The sequence below is a fragment of the Homo sapiens genome, chromosome 6 (assembly GCF_000001405.40).
Source record: "Homo sapiens chromosome 6, GRCh38.p14 Primary Assembly".
Taxonomy (NCBI): Eukaryota; Metazoa; Chordata; class Mammalia; order Primates; family Hominidae; genus Homo; species Homo sapiens.
Window position 1 is genome coordinate 32005178 of NC_000006.12, and position 9269 is coordinate 32014446.

General features: G+C 61.1%; 3 pseudogenes across 2 annotated transcripts, besides 19 other annotated features; 2 read left to right on the forward strand and 1 right to left on the reverse strand.

Moving 5' to 3' along the window:
• The first annotated feature begins 458 nt into the window (after nucleotides 1-458).
• On the forward strand, nucleotides 459-3732 carry CYP21A1P (cytochrome P450 family 21 subfamily A member 1, pseudogene; annotated as a pseudogene). Its single transcript, NR_040090.1, has 8 exons — nucleotides 459-1335; nucleotides 1443-1544; nucleotides 1633-1734; nucleotides 1836-1922; nucleotides 2092-2293; nucleotides 2494-2672; nucleotides 2756-2859; nucleotides 2957-3732. The product of NR_040090.1 is annotated as a cytochrome P450 family 21 subfamily A member 1, pseudogene (transcript).
• Nucleotides 649-945: a non allelic homologous recombination region, noted in NCBI's record as "sub-region CH-4, recombines with sub-region CH-4' within the CYP21A2 recombination region". NCBI's record gives the evidence for it as "EXISTENCE:nucleotide sequencing assay evidence [ECO:0000219][PMID:11134109, PMID:1905948, PMID:22156666]".
• Nucleotides 649-3475: a biological region, named in NCBI's record as "CYP21A1P recombination region". NCBI's record gives its function as "recombination_partner: LOC106780800".
• Nucleotides 1115-1122: a non allelic homologous recombination region, noted in NCBI's record as "sub-region CH-9, recombines with sub-region CH-9' within the CYP21A2 recombination region". NCBI's record gives the evidence for it as "EXISTENCE:nucleotide sequencing assay evidence [ECO:0000219][PMID:22156666]".
• Nucleotides 1177-1227: a non allelic homologous recombination region, noted in NCBI's record as "sub-region CH-6, recombines with sub-region CH-6' within the CYP21A2 recombination region". NCBI's record gives the evidence for it as "EXISTENCE:nucleotide sequencing assay evidence [ECO:0000219][PMID:19624807, PMID:22156666]".
• Nucleotides 1228-1512: a non allelic homologous recombination region, noted in NCBI's record as "sub-region CH-1, recombines with sub-region CH-1' within the CYP21A2 recombination region". NCBI's record gives the evidence for it as "EXISTENCE:nucleotide sequencing assay evidence [ECO:0000219][PMID:22156666]" and "EXISTENCE:restriction fragment detection evidence [ECO:0001124][PMID:12376740]".
• Nucleotides 1635-1888: a non allelic homologous recombination region, noted in NCBI's record as "sub-region CH-2, recombines with sub-region CH-2' within the CYP21A2 recombination region". NCBI's record gives the evidence for it as "EXISTENCE:nucleotide sequencing assay evidence [ECO:0000219][PMID:22156666]" and "EXISTENCE:restriction fragment detection evidence [ECO:0001124][PMID:12376740]".
• Nucleotides 1903-2269: a non allelic homologous recombination region, noted in NCBI's record as "sub-region CH-7, recombines with sub-region CH-7' within the CYP21A2 recombination region". NCBI's record gives the evidence for it as "EXISTENCE:nucleotide sequencing assay evidence [ECO:0000219][PMID:20970527, PMID:22156666]".
• Nucleotides 2278-2508: a non allelic homologous recombination region, noted in NCBI's record as "sub-region CH-5, recombines with sub-region CH-5' within the CYP21A2 recombination region". NCBI's record gives the evidence for it as "EXISTENCE:nucleotide sequencing assay evidence [ECO:0000219][PMID:22156666]".
• Nucleotides 2415-3475: a meiotic recombination region, noted in NCBI's record as "meiotic double-strand break mapped by DNA meiotic recombinase 1 chromatin immunoprecipitation followed by single-stranded DNA enrichment and sequencing in the germ cells of some male individuals with the PRDM9 A/A genotype". NCBI's record gives the evidence for it as "EXISTENCE:chromatin immunoprecipitation-seq evidence [ECO:0000229][PMID:25395542]".
• Nucleotides 2510-2622: a non allelic homologous recombination region, noted in NCBI's record as "sub-region CH-3, recombines with sub-region CH-3' within the CYP21A2 recombination region". NCBI's record gives the evidence for it as "EXISTENCE:nucleotide sequencing assay evidence [ECO:0000219][PMID:22156666]" and "EXISTENCE:restriction fragment detection evidence [ECO:0001124][PMID:12560361]".
• Nucleotides 2624-2625: a non allelic homologous recombination region, noted in NCBI's record as "sub-region CH-8, recombines with sub-region CH-8' within the CYP21A1P recombination region. This sub-region is marked as 3' partial since the 3' end of the sub-region is unknown". NCBI's record gives the evidence for it as "EXISTENCE:nucleotide sequencing assay evidence [ECO:0000219][PMID:22156666]".
• TNXA (tenascin XA (pseudogene)) lies at nucleotides 3243-7846 on the reverse strand (annotated as a pseudogene). The gene is made up of 13 exons (NR_001284.2): nucleotides 6975-7846; nucleotides 6350-6685; nucleotides 5976-6098; nucleotides 5809-5861; nucleotides 5526-5645; nucleotides 5264-5407; nucleotides 5040-5170; nucleotides 4788-4920; nucleotides 4544-4695; nucleotides 4354-4450; nucleotides 4100-4261; nucleotides 3859-4022; nucleotides 3243-3538 (listed from the first exon to the last, which is right to left on the reverse strand). The product of NR_001284.2 is annotated as a tenascin XA (pseudogene) (transcript).
• Nucleotides 3696-3945: a non allelic homologous recombination region, noted in NCBI's record as "sub-region TNXA/TNXB-1, recombines with sub-region TNXA/TNXB-1' within the tenascin XB recombination region". NCBI's record gives the evidence for it as "EXISTENCE:restriction fragment detection evidence [ECO:0001124][PMID:15081125]".
• Nucleotides 3696-8091: a biological region, named in NCBI's record as "tenascin XA (pseudogene) recombination region". NCBI's record gives its function as "recombination_partner: LOC106780803".
• Nucleotides 5129-6647: a meiotic recombination region, noted in NCBI's record as "meiotic double-strand break mapped by DNA meiotic recombinase 1 chromatin immunoprecipitation followed by single-stranded DNA enrichment and sequencing in the germ cells of some male individuals with PRDM9 A/A and PRDM9 A/C genotypes". NCBI's record gives the evidence for it as "EXISTENCE:chromatin immunoprecipitation-seq evidence [ECO:0000229][PMID:25395542]".
• Nucleotides 5870-7819: a non allelic homologous recombination region, noted in NCBI's record as "sub-region TNXA/TNXB-2, recombines with sub-region TNXA/TNXB-2' within the tenascin XB recombination region". NCBI's record gives the evidence for it as "EXISTENCE:nucleotide sequencing assay evidence [ECO:0000219][PMID:10207042]" and "EXISTENCE:restriction fragment detection evidence [ECO:0001124][PMID:10207042]".
• Nucleotides 6076-6088: a nucleotide motif, noted in NCBI's record as "nucleotide motif; similarity to the predicted 13-mer PRDM9 A binding motif (LD hotspot motif), CCNCCNTNNCCNC".
• Nucleotides 6128-6143: a nucleotide motif, noted in NCBI's record as "nucleotide motif; similarity to the predicted 16-mer PRDM9 C-type binding motif, CCNCNNTNNNCNTNNC".
• Nucleotides 6160-6172: a nucleotide motif, noted in NCBI's record as "nucleotide motif; similarity to the predicted 13-mer PRDM9 A binding motif (LD hotspot motif), CCNCCNTNNCCNC".
• Nucleotides 7819-8091: a non allelic homologous recombination region, noted in NCBI's record as "sub-region TNXA/TNXB-3, recombines with sub-region TNXA/TNXB-3' within the tenascin XB recombination region". NCBI's record gives the evidence for it as "EXISTENCE:restriction fragment detection evidence [ECO:0001124][PMID:12354783]".
• WHR1B (winged helix repair factor 1B (pseudogene)) lies at nucleotides 8213-9007 on the forward strand (annotated as a pseudogene).

Sequence of the window (9269 nt, forward strand, 5' to 3'; positions counted from 1 at the left end):
TGGAATGCCCCAGGCAAACCAGGCTTAAACTGTATTACTCTATCTGTAGCTTAAACTAACAAACAAACCCACACAAATCACATTTTGTTCTTCAGGCGATTCAGGAAGGCCTATTAGGCAGGGACTGCCATTTTCTCTCTGAGACAAACATCATGCCAGTAAACTGGCCCACGGTGGGGTGGCAGAGGGAGAGGGCCCAGGTCGGGGCGGACACCCTTGCCTGCACGGGTGATGTGGAACCAGAAAGCTGACTCTGGATGCAGGAAAAAGGTCAGGGTTGCATTTCCCTTCCTTGCTTCTCGATGGGTGATTAATTTTTTTTGAAATACGGACGTCCCAAGGCCAATGAGACTGGTGTCATTCCAGAAAAGGGCCACTCTGTGGGTGGGTCGGTGGGAAGGCACCTGAGGGTGGGGTCAAGGGAGGCCCCAAAACAGTCTACACAGCAGGAGGGATGGCTGGGGCTCTTGAGCTATAAGTGGCACCTCAGGGCCCTGACGGGCGTCTTGCCATGCTGCTCCTGGGCCTGCTGCTGCTGCTGCCCCTGCTGGCTGGCGCCCGCCTGCTGTGGAACTGGTGGAAGCTCCGGAGCCTCCACCTCCTGCCTCTTGCCCCGGGCTTCTTGCACCTGCTGCAGCCCGACCTCCCCATCTATCTGCTTGGCCTGACTCAGAAATTCGGGCCCATCTACAGGCTCCACCTTGGGCTGCAAGGTGAGAGGCTGATCTCGCTCTGGCCCTCACCATAGGAGGGGGCGGAGGTGACGGAGAGGGTCCTCTCTCCGCTGACGCTGCTTTGGCTGTCTCCCAGATGTGGTGGTGCTGAACTCCAAGAGGACCATTGAGGAAGCCATGGTCAAAAAGTGGGCAGACTTTGCTGGCAGACCTGAGCCACTTACCTGTAAGGGCCGGGGGCATTTTTTCTTTCTTAAACAAATTTTTTTTTTGTTAGAGATGGGGTCTTGCTATGTTGCCCAGGCTGGTCTTGAATTCCTGGTCTCAAGTGATCCTCCCACCTCGGCCTCAAGTGGGAGCCACCTTCGGGGGCTTCCCCAATCCTCCAGGTCACTGGAAGCTCTTGGGGGGCATATCTTCAGGAGAAGAAGCAGGTGTTGAGGAGGCAGAAGAAGGTCAGGCCCTCGGCTTCCTTGGTCAGTTCCCACCCTCCAGCCCCCAGCTCCTCCTGCAGACAAGCTGGTGTCTAAGAACTACCCGGACCTGTCGTTGGTCTCTGCTCTGGAAAGCCCACAAGAAGCTCACCCGCTCAGCCCTGCTGCTGGGCATCCGTGACTCCATGGAGCCAGTGGTGGAGCAGCTGACCCAGGAGTTCTGTGAGGTAAGGCTGGGCTCCTGAGGCCACCTCGGGTCAGCCTCGCCTCTCACAGTAGCCCCCGCCCTGCCCGCTGCACAGCGGCCTGCTGAACTCACACTGTTTCTCCACAGCGCATGAGAGCCCAGCCCGGCACCCCTGTGGCCATTGAGGAGGAATTCTCTCTCCTCACCTGCAGCATCAACTGTTACCTCACCTTCGGAGACAAGATCAAGGTGCCTCACAGCCCCTCAGGCCCACCCCCAGCCCCTCCCTGAGCCTCTCCTTGTCCTGAACTGAAAGTACTCCATCCTTTCCTGGCAGGAGGACAACTTAATGCCTGCCTATTACAAATGTATCCAGGAGGTGTTAAAAACCTGGAGCCACTGGTCCATCCAAATTGTGGACGTGATTCCCTTTCTCAGGGTGAGGACCTGGAGCCTAGACACCCCTGGGTTGTAGGGGAGAGGCTGGGGTGGAGGGAGAGGCTCCTTCCCACAGCTGCATTCTCATGCTTCCTGCCGCAGTTCTTCCCCAATCCAGGTCTCCGGAGGCTGAAGCAGGCCATAGAGAAGAGGGACCACAACGAGGAGAAGCAGCTGAGGCAGCACAAGGTGGGGACTGTGTGTGGACGGCCTCCCCTCGGCCCACAGCCAGTGATGCTACCGGCCTCAGCATTGCTATGAGGCGGGTTCTTTTGCATACCCCAGTTATGGGCCTGTTGCCACTCTGTACTCCTCTCCCCAGGCCAGCCGCTCAGCCCGCTCCTTTCACCCTCTGCAGGAGAGCCTGGTGGCAGGCCAGTGGAGGGACATGATGGACTACATGCTCCAAGGGGTGGCGCAGCCGAGCATGGAAGAGGGCTCTGGACAGCTCCTGGAAGGGCACTTGCACATGGCTGCAGTGGACCTCCTGATCGGTGGCACTGAGACCACAGCAAACACCCTCTCCTGGGCCGTGGTTTTTTTTGCTTCACCACCCTGAGGTGCGTCCTGCGGACAAGCAAAAGGCTCCTTCCCAGCAACCTGGCCAGGGCGGTGGGCACCCTCACTCAGCTCTGAGCACTGTGCGGCTGGGGCTGTGCTTGCCTCACCGGCACTCAGGCTCACTGGGTTGCTGAGGGAGCGGCTGGAGGCTGGGCAGCTGTGGGCTGCTGGGGCAGGACTCCACCCGATCATTCCCCAGATTCAGCAGCGACTGTAGGAGGAGCTAGACCACGAACTGGGCCCTGGTGCCTCCAGCTCCCGGGTCCCCTACAAGGACCGTGCACGGCTGCCCTTGCTCAATGCCACCATCGCCGAGGTGCTGCGCCTGTGGCCCGTTGTGCCCTTAGCCTTGCCCCACCGCACCACACGGCCCAGCAGGTGACTCCCGAGGGTTGGGGATGAGTGAGGAAAGCCCGAGCCCAGGGAGGTCCTGGCCAGCCTCTAACTCCAGCCCCCTTCAGCATCTCCGGCTACGACATCCCTGAGGGCACAGTCATCATTCCGAACCTCCAAGGCGCCCACCTGGATGAGACGGTCTGGGAGAGGCCACATGAGTTCTGGCCTGGTATGTGGGGGGCCGGGGGCCTGCCATGAAAATGTGGTGGAGGCTGGTCCCCGCTGCCGCTGAACGCCTCCCCACCCACCTGTCCACCCGCCCGCAGATCGCTTCCTGGAGCCAGGCAAGAACTCCAGAGCTCTGGCCTTCGGCTGCGGTGCCCGCGTGTGCCTGGGCGAGCCGCTGGCGCGCCTGGAGCTCTTCGTGGTGCTGACCCGACTGCTGCAGGCCTTCACGCTGCTGCCCTCCGGGGACGCCCTGCCCTCCCTGCAGCCCCTGCCCCACTGCAGTGTCATCCTCAAGATGCAGCCTTTCCAAGTGCGGCTGCAGCCCCGGGGGATGGGGGCCCACAGCCCAGGCCAGAACCAGTGATGGGGCAGGACCGATGCCAGCCGGGTACCTCAGTTTCTCCTTTATTGCTCCCGTACGAACCCCTCCCCTCCCCCCTGTAAACACAGTGCTGCGAGATCGCTGGCAGAGAAGGCTTCCTCCAGCGGCTGGGTGGTGAAGGACCCTGGCTCTTCTCTCGGGGCGACCCCTCAGTGCTCGGCAGTCATACTGGGGTGCGAGAGAGGTGGGCAGCAGCTCAGCCTCCCCCCGCTGGGGAGCGAAAGTTTCTTGGTCTCAGCTTCATTTCCGTGAAGGGCACCGAGAACTCGAAGCCCTTCCAGTGGTACCAGCTCACTCCCTGGGAAAGGGGTTGTCAAGAGAGAGTCAAAGCCGGATGTCCCATCTGCTCCTCCCGTTCCCCTTAAGGAGGTGGCTCCCAGCACTCAACCAACCTCCCCGCAGAGCTCCCTTCCTGACCCTCTGCCGCAGAGGATTGAGGCTTAATCCTGAGCTGGTCCTTTCCAGCCAATAAATCAACTCCAGCTCCCTCTGCGAGGCTGGCATGATTGTTCCATTTCACCCAGCCGCTCAGTCCCTTGCCTGTTACACTGTGGGGCTGAAACCTAGGCAGGCCGAGCCCCAGCCACCCCAGCTCTGAGCCGCCTCCCCACCCCTCACCTGATGGTCCACTGTGCTCCCGTAGAGCCCGTTGAGGTTGGCGTAGTGGCAGTTCCTGTACCACCAGGCCCCTCGGTAGGAGACAGCGCAGGAGATGAGCAAGCTGTTGGGGTCCCGATCACGGGCAGAGAAGACACTGCCGCTGTGGTAGCTCATGGAGTCCCCTGGGCAGGGTGGAGGAAGGAGCCATGAGGGCCTCCCCTCCCAGCCTCACCCTCCCAGCCTCACAGCCTCTGCTTACCTGCGGTGCCGTGGTAGCCCTCCAAGTGGAGGCGGTAGTACTCCGCAGCCGAGTCTACGTGGAAGGAGTCGTACTGGGCGAACACAGCCTCGTCCCCAGCCCGCAGGTCCACGCGCATGGAGTAGTCACCTGCCTGTGTCAGGCTGTGCAGGGCCTCATTGCCTGGGGGTGGGATACGTGCCCTCATCAGGGTCCTGGTGTCCACAGGGCCCCCATCCCCATCCGTAGTTCCCCAGTCCCTGTGAGGCACTGACCCAGCCAGAACTCTCCAGAGATGTTCCCAAAACCATGGGCATAGTCCTCCCAGTCCCTCCAGAAGTCTGTCTGTCCATCCATGCGGCGCTGGAACACCTGGGAAGCAAGTGGGGGCACCATCAGCCTCTGGCTCCCGGGGCAACAGCCCCTTGCCCTGCACAGACCCCTGGGCTTCCCAATGCCACCCACCAGCCAGCCGCCCCCATCAGTCTCCATGTCCCAAAACACGTTCAGGGGCCGCTCCCGGTTGCCGTTGAGGAAGATGGTGCTGGTCCTGGAGGCACCGGCTCCGTTCTGCATCTCCTCCCCGCAGTCCCTGGGGAAGGGGATCCGCAGCCCACCTGGGAGAGGAGAGCAGGGGCCAGTCCTTTTCCAAGCCTTAGGCCCTGGCTGCCCACCCAGCCCCCGGCCCCGGGCCCGTGCGTCCAGGTACCCGTGGTGAAAGAGGTGGACACGGGCGGCAGGAGGCTCTGGCCCCACATGGCCTGGAGCCGTGCATTGTAGGAGGTGGAGGGAAAGAGGCCAAGGAGCTGGTGAGATGTGATCCCTCCTGGGAGCAGGATCTCCTGTGGGACAGACAAGGGGGGGTCAGGGGAGAGGGAGGTGGAGACCCTCCGGGAGGGCCAGAGGCAGCACCTCCTGGAATCACCCAGGGAGGGGAGTTGGGTCAGTGGGGCCGGGGCACCTGGTTCTGTCCACCAGGGGTGTGGAAGCTGAGCAGGTAGCCTGCGGGCCGGACTGGGGGCTCAGTCCAAGTGAGCAGGGCGGTGCGGGGGGTCACTTCCTTGGCCTCCAAGTCCCGAGGGGCCTCTAGCCCTAGGAGGGAAAGCAGGAAGAGGAGATGGGGATGAGGCCCAACCTGGCTCCCTCTACCTCCTCTCCCTGTCCCACACACCCCACAGACCCTACCTGTGGTGAAGGTGATGCTGGCTGGGGAAGTGAGGTTGGGGCCCCGCAGGCCACGCACTGTGGCGGTGTAGTTGGTGTGGAGGACAAGGTCATGCAGGGGGTAGTCCACCGCGCTGCCTGGGGTCTCCGCCTGCAGAGGCGGGGCTGGGAGTGTAGAGAGGGGCATCAAGGCCTGCCCCCTCCATCCTCGGCCAGAGTCCAGCCTCCCCCCTGCAATCCCCACCCTGAACAAGTCCCCTCCAGAGGCCTCAGGCCTGCTCACCCCCAGGGGCTGTGACCTGGACGTCATAGGTGTCCACAGGATTCTGGGGGGGCTTCCAGTGCAGCACGGCGAATCCCTCGGTCAAGTTCAGTGCACGCAACTGTGTGGGACCGTCAGGAACTGGGGGAAGGGGAGGGGCTCAGAAGGGTCCCCGCGGCTCTCTCTACTCCGTGCCTCCCCAGACTCCACTGGCCTCCCGTCCGCAATCGGAGCCTCCACCACCTCCCTTTCACCCTCCTCGTTCTCTCTCAACTCCCACCCATGCCGTTTTCTTGACTCCCACCTGGAGTTTCTGGGTCCGGGCCCGGCCGTCCACCTGCACACTCTGAGGCTCCCCTGAAAACGTTGGGGATCGAGGGTTACCCAGGGAACCCCAGGGCGGCTGGAGGGTGGGCAGAGTGCAGGGGGGAGAGGAAATGCGAGGCGATGAGCACATGGCAAAGGCACCACCTCCGTCCGCCAGCTGGTAGGAGACTTTGAAGCTGTCCGCCCGGGATGGTGGGGGCATCCAGTTGACCTTGGCTGAGGTCTCCCTGATTTCACTGAATTGGAGGTCACGGGGGCTCTCCAGAACTGCAGAGGGGTCAAGGAACAATGACGCAGGCAGGGGCAGGGAGGCTCCTCCCTGCGAGTCCCCCCCTCGCCTCTGCTCCAGCACAGGCTCACCACCCCTTTTCCTCTAGTCCCCAGGAATGGAAGTCGCTCTGCAGATTCCTCCAGGCCCACCACCAACTCGCCCACCCCCACCGCTGGCTGAGGCACTAGGTCCCCCCCGTGAAGTACAAAGACCCCCACTTTGGGGCAGAGTGTGTGTGGGTCCTTACCTGGGCTGAGGGTGCGGGCGGTTCCCTGGATGCTGTCGGCCTTGTGGGGTCCTCGCAGCCCATACAGTGTCAGGCTGTACAGAGTCCCGGAACGCAGGTCCCGGAGCACGGCCGAGTGCCGCGTCCCCGGCACCATCAGCTCGCGCTGCAGCAGTGGACGCGGATGCGGCTCCAGAGTGCTTGGTGATGGAACCCCAAAGCGGAGCAGGAAGGAGTCGAAGGCCCCCGGTGGGGCCTCCCAGTTGAGCCTCAGTGAACTGGTGGTCACGTCAGTCACAGACAGCTGGGACAGGCGGGGCCTTGACTCCTCTGAGGTCTGACCAGCAGGAGCCAGCCCTGCACGGAGTGGGTGGGGGAGAAGGGATTGGAGACAGAAGCACACCAGCTTGGTGACCCAGAGCACGTCCCTTCCACCCCCCTCCCTGCCCCCGTTTCTCTATCTGTAACCAGGGACTTGCAGCCACAGGGGGGTCCTGTGGGGCAGAGCTAAAGGCCACTCGCATCCAGCCCATCCATCCTCTCTCCCTGGTACCCGCCTCACGCTCTTTCCCTGCGACCACCCCTTCTGAGCCCCCGTTTCTCCCTTCTGAGTCCTAGGCTAGAGGCCGGAGACGCCTGGTGGTACCTGTGGTGCCCTCAGCTGAGAGGGGCCCCAGGCGCTTCCCTTCATGGAGGCCATAGAGGAGGAACCTGTAGCGGGTGCTGGGCTCCAGGCCTGAGATGAGGATCTTGCTCTGGTCGCCGTCCACGAGCAAGGCCTGGGGCTGCCCATTCGTGTCCTCATACTGGACCACGAAGGAATCAAAGGGGCCCTGGGCCACGCTCCACGAGAGGCGCATGGAGTCTGGGGTTGTGTCGGTCACGGTCAGCACTCCTAGGCGGGGCTCTTCAGGAGGCTCAGGGGCCTCTGGGGCTAACTCTGGGGCTGGTGTGTCCTCTTCTGGGGCTGCGTGGGAGAAGCCCAGGGGAGAATCTGAGTGAGGGGCGCCATGGGGTGCTCCATTTTTATCTTCCAGGCTTGGCCCAAGGCTGAGGTGGGAAGTTTATAGGTCCAGGCCCAGTCAGACAATGAAGTCGCTGTGGCCTCGTGACTCCTGCGAGCTCCCGCGCTGTCTGAGTCAGGTGCTCGCTTCCCCCTTCCACACCCCGGTGTCCTGCCGAGCCCACCTCGAGATATCACAGGCTCTGGCCCCACCCATGCCGGGATACATTCACTGAGCTTGAGGAGTGTGGTGCTCCCTTCTGAGAGAAGCTGAGGGTGGAACTGGCTGGTTGAGGTGACTGGCAAATCCCACCAGCCGTGCCGTGGTCAGGCCTGTCTGAGGTGGGCATCAGCGAGCTCTGGAAGAGGAGCCTGTACCACAAATGCAGCCACTGCTGTTGGTTTCTGTGTCCCCGCTCATTTTGTTTTCCAGTGATGTTCCTCTTAAGAAAATGCTCCTGACTCATCCACGGCAGGGAGGTTTGCCACTATCTGGACAAGGCCACCCTTCGGGGAGGCGACAGCAGCCCCAGCGAGTAATGAGGAGCAGCGGCAGTGACGGGGCAGAGTCGGGGCTGGGAGATTAGAGAGCCCCTCCCAGGGCCTTTCCCTCCCGCCTGGCCTGGCTCCTGCTCTGGACTCCTTGATGGATGTTGAAGCCCACAGGGCTGCAGACTCCTCCTCCTTCCTGGGCACAGGCCAGGTCACCCCACTCCGGCCTGCCCACTCCTGCAGTCATCTTTGTCTTCAGACCAAATGCACAAGTACTTTGTTAAAGGTATCCCATCTGCAGCTCAAGCCTGCAGCCCCTCACCTTTTGGTGGCTCCTCAGGCCTCTAGGCCTTATTCACCTTTCCCCTTTCCTGTGCCACTTCTCCTCTAGGGCGCCAGGCTGTCCTTGGCATGGTCCGGAAGGCAAAGTACCGGGAGCTGCTCCTATCAGAGCTCCTGGGCCGGCGGGTGCCTGTCGTGGTGCGGCTTGGCCTCACCTACCATGTGCACGACCTCATTGGGGCCCAGCTAGTGGACTGGTGAGTCTTTCCCTGGCCTCTGGCAGATTATGGAGCAATGACCCAAAGTGGGATTTCCTCCCAGCTCATGCTTAGTTTCCTAGTGAAGGCCAGTGGCTCTCATTCTTCTCTGGAACCCGGGAGCACCCCTTCCCAAGTTCTAAGTTCTCCTCACAGCTTGAGCCTAGGCGTCTGGCTCCAGCCTTGTCTTTCTCCTGCACAGCATCTCTACCACTTCAGGAACCCTCCTCCGCCTGCCAGAGACATGAAGATTCTGCTCATCATTGCTCAGCTCCTCAGAGTGGGCCGGGAGGGGACTAGAAGAGCTGCATGATGGTGGCTGAGACAGGGTCACCTTGGGAAGGCTTGGGAGCCAGGATGAGTGTCGGGCTCTCGTGTGTGCAAAAGGTCAGATGTGACTGCTGCTGTTTGCCTGGTTTCTGACCCAGTGGTGGGGTTTGAGCAATGCTTCTCTGCCCTTCCATGGAAAGTGGAACCAGAAATGGTGCCAAGGCTGTGGCTGTTCCCTTTCGTGTAAAATGGTGCTGTTATTACTCTGTCTTGAAATAGGAAGGTGGGATTTCTGGGGAGGCTGGTGAAGGAGGGCAGGGTTCTTTTCTCTACGTGTCATGTTAAAATTGCCAAATAAAGTACCTCTGCCTGTGATATTTTCTGGATGTCCTTTATTTACTGTGACGTGTGTTTGGGTGCCTTGTTTAGGGGTAGAGGTGAAGTCTGAGCTTTGCCTCATTCAGAGAGGAAAGGGGTCAGGGGTTCACTCTGACGTTCAGGCCATTCTCCCTGTGGAGTGGTGAGGGTGTACCTAATCTCCTAAACCACGGAATTTCTGTTAGGGCCTAAAAAAGCAAAAGCCTAGTATAGTTCAATTTGTGTTGGAATGAAAGTAAGAGACAAGTGTCTTAGAAGC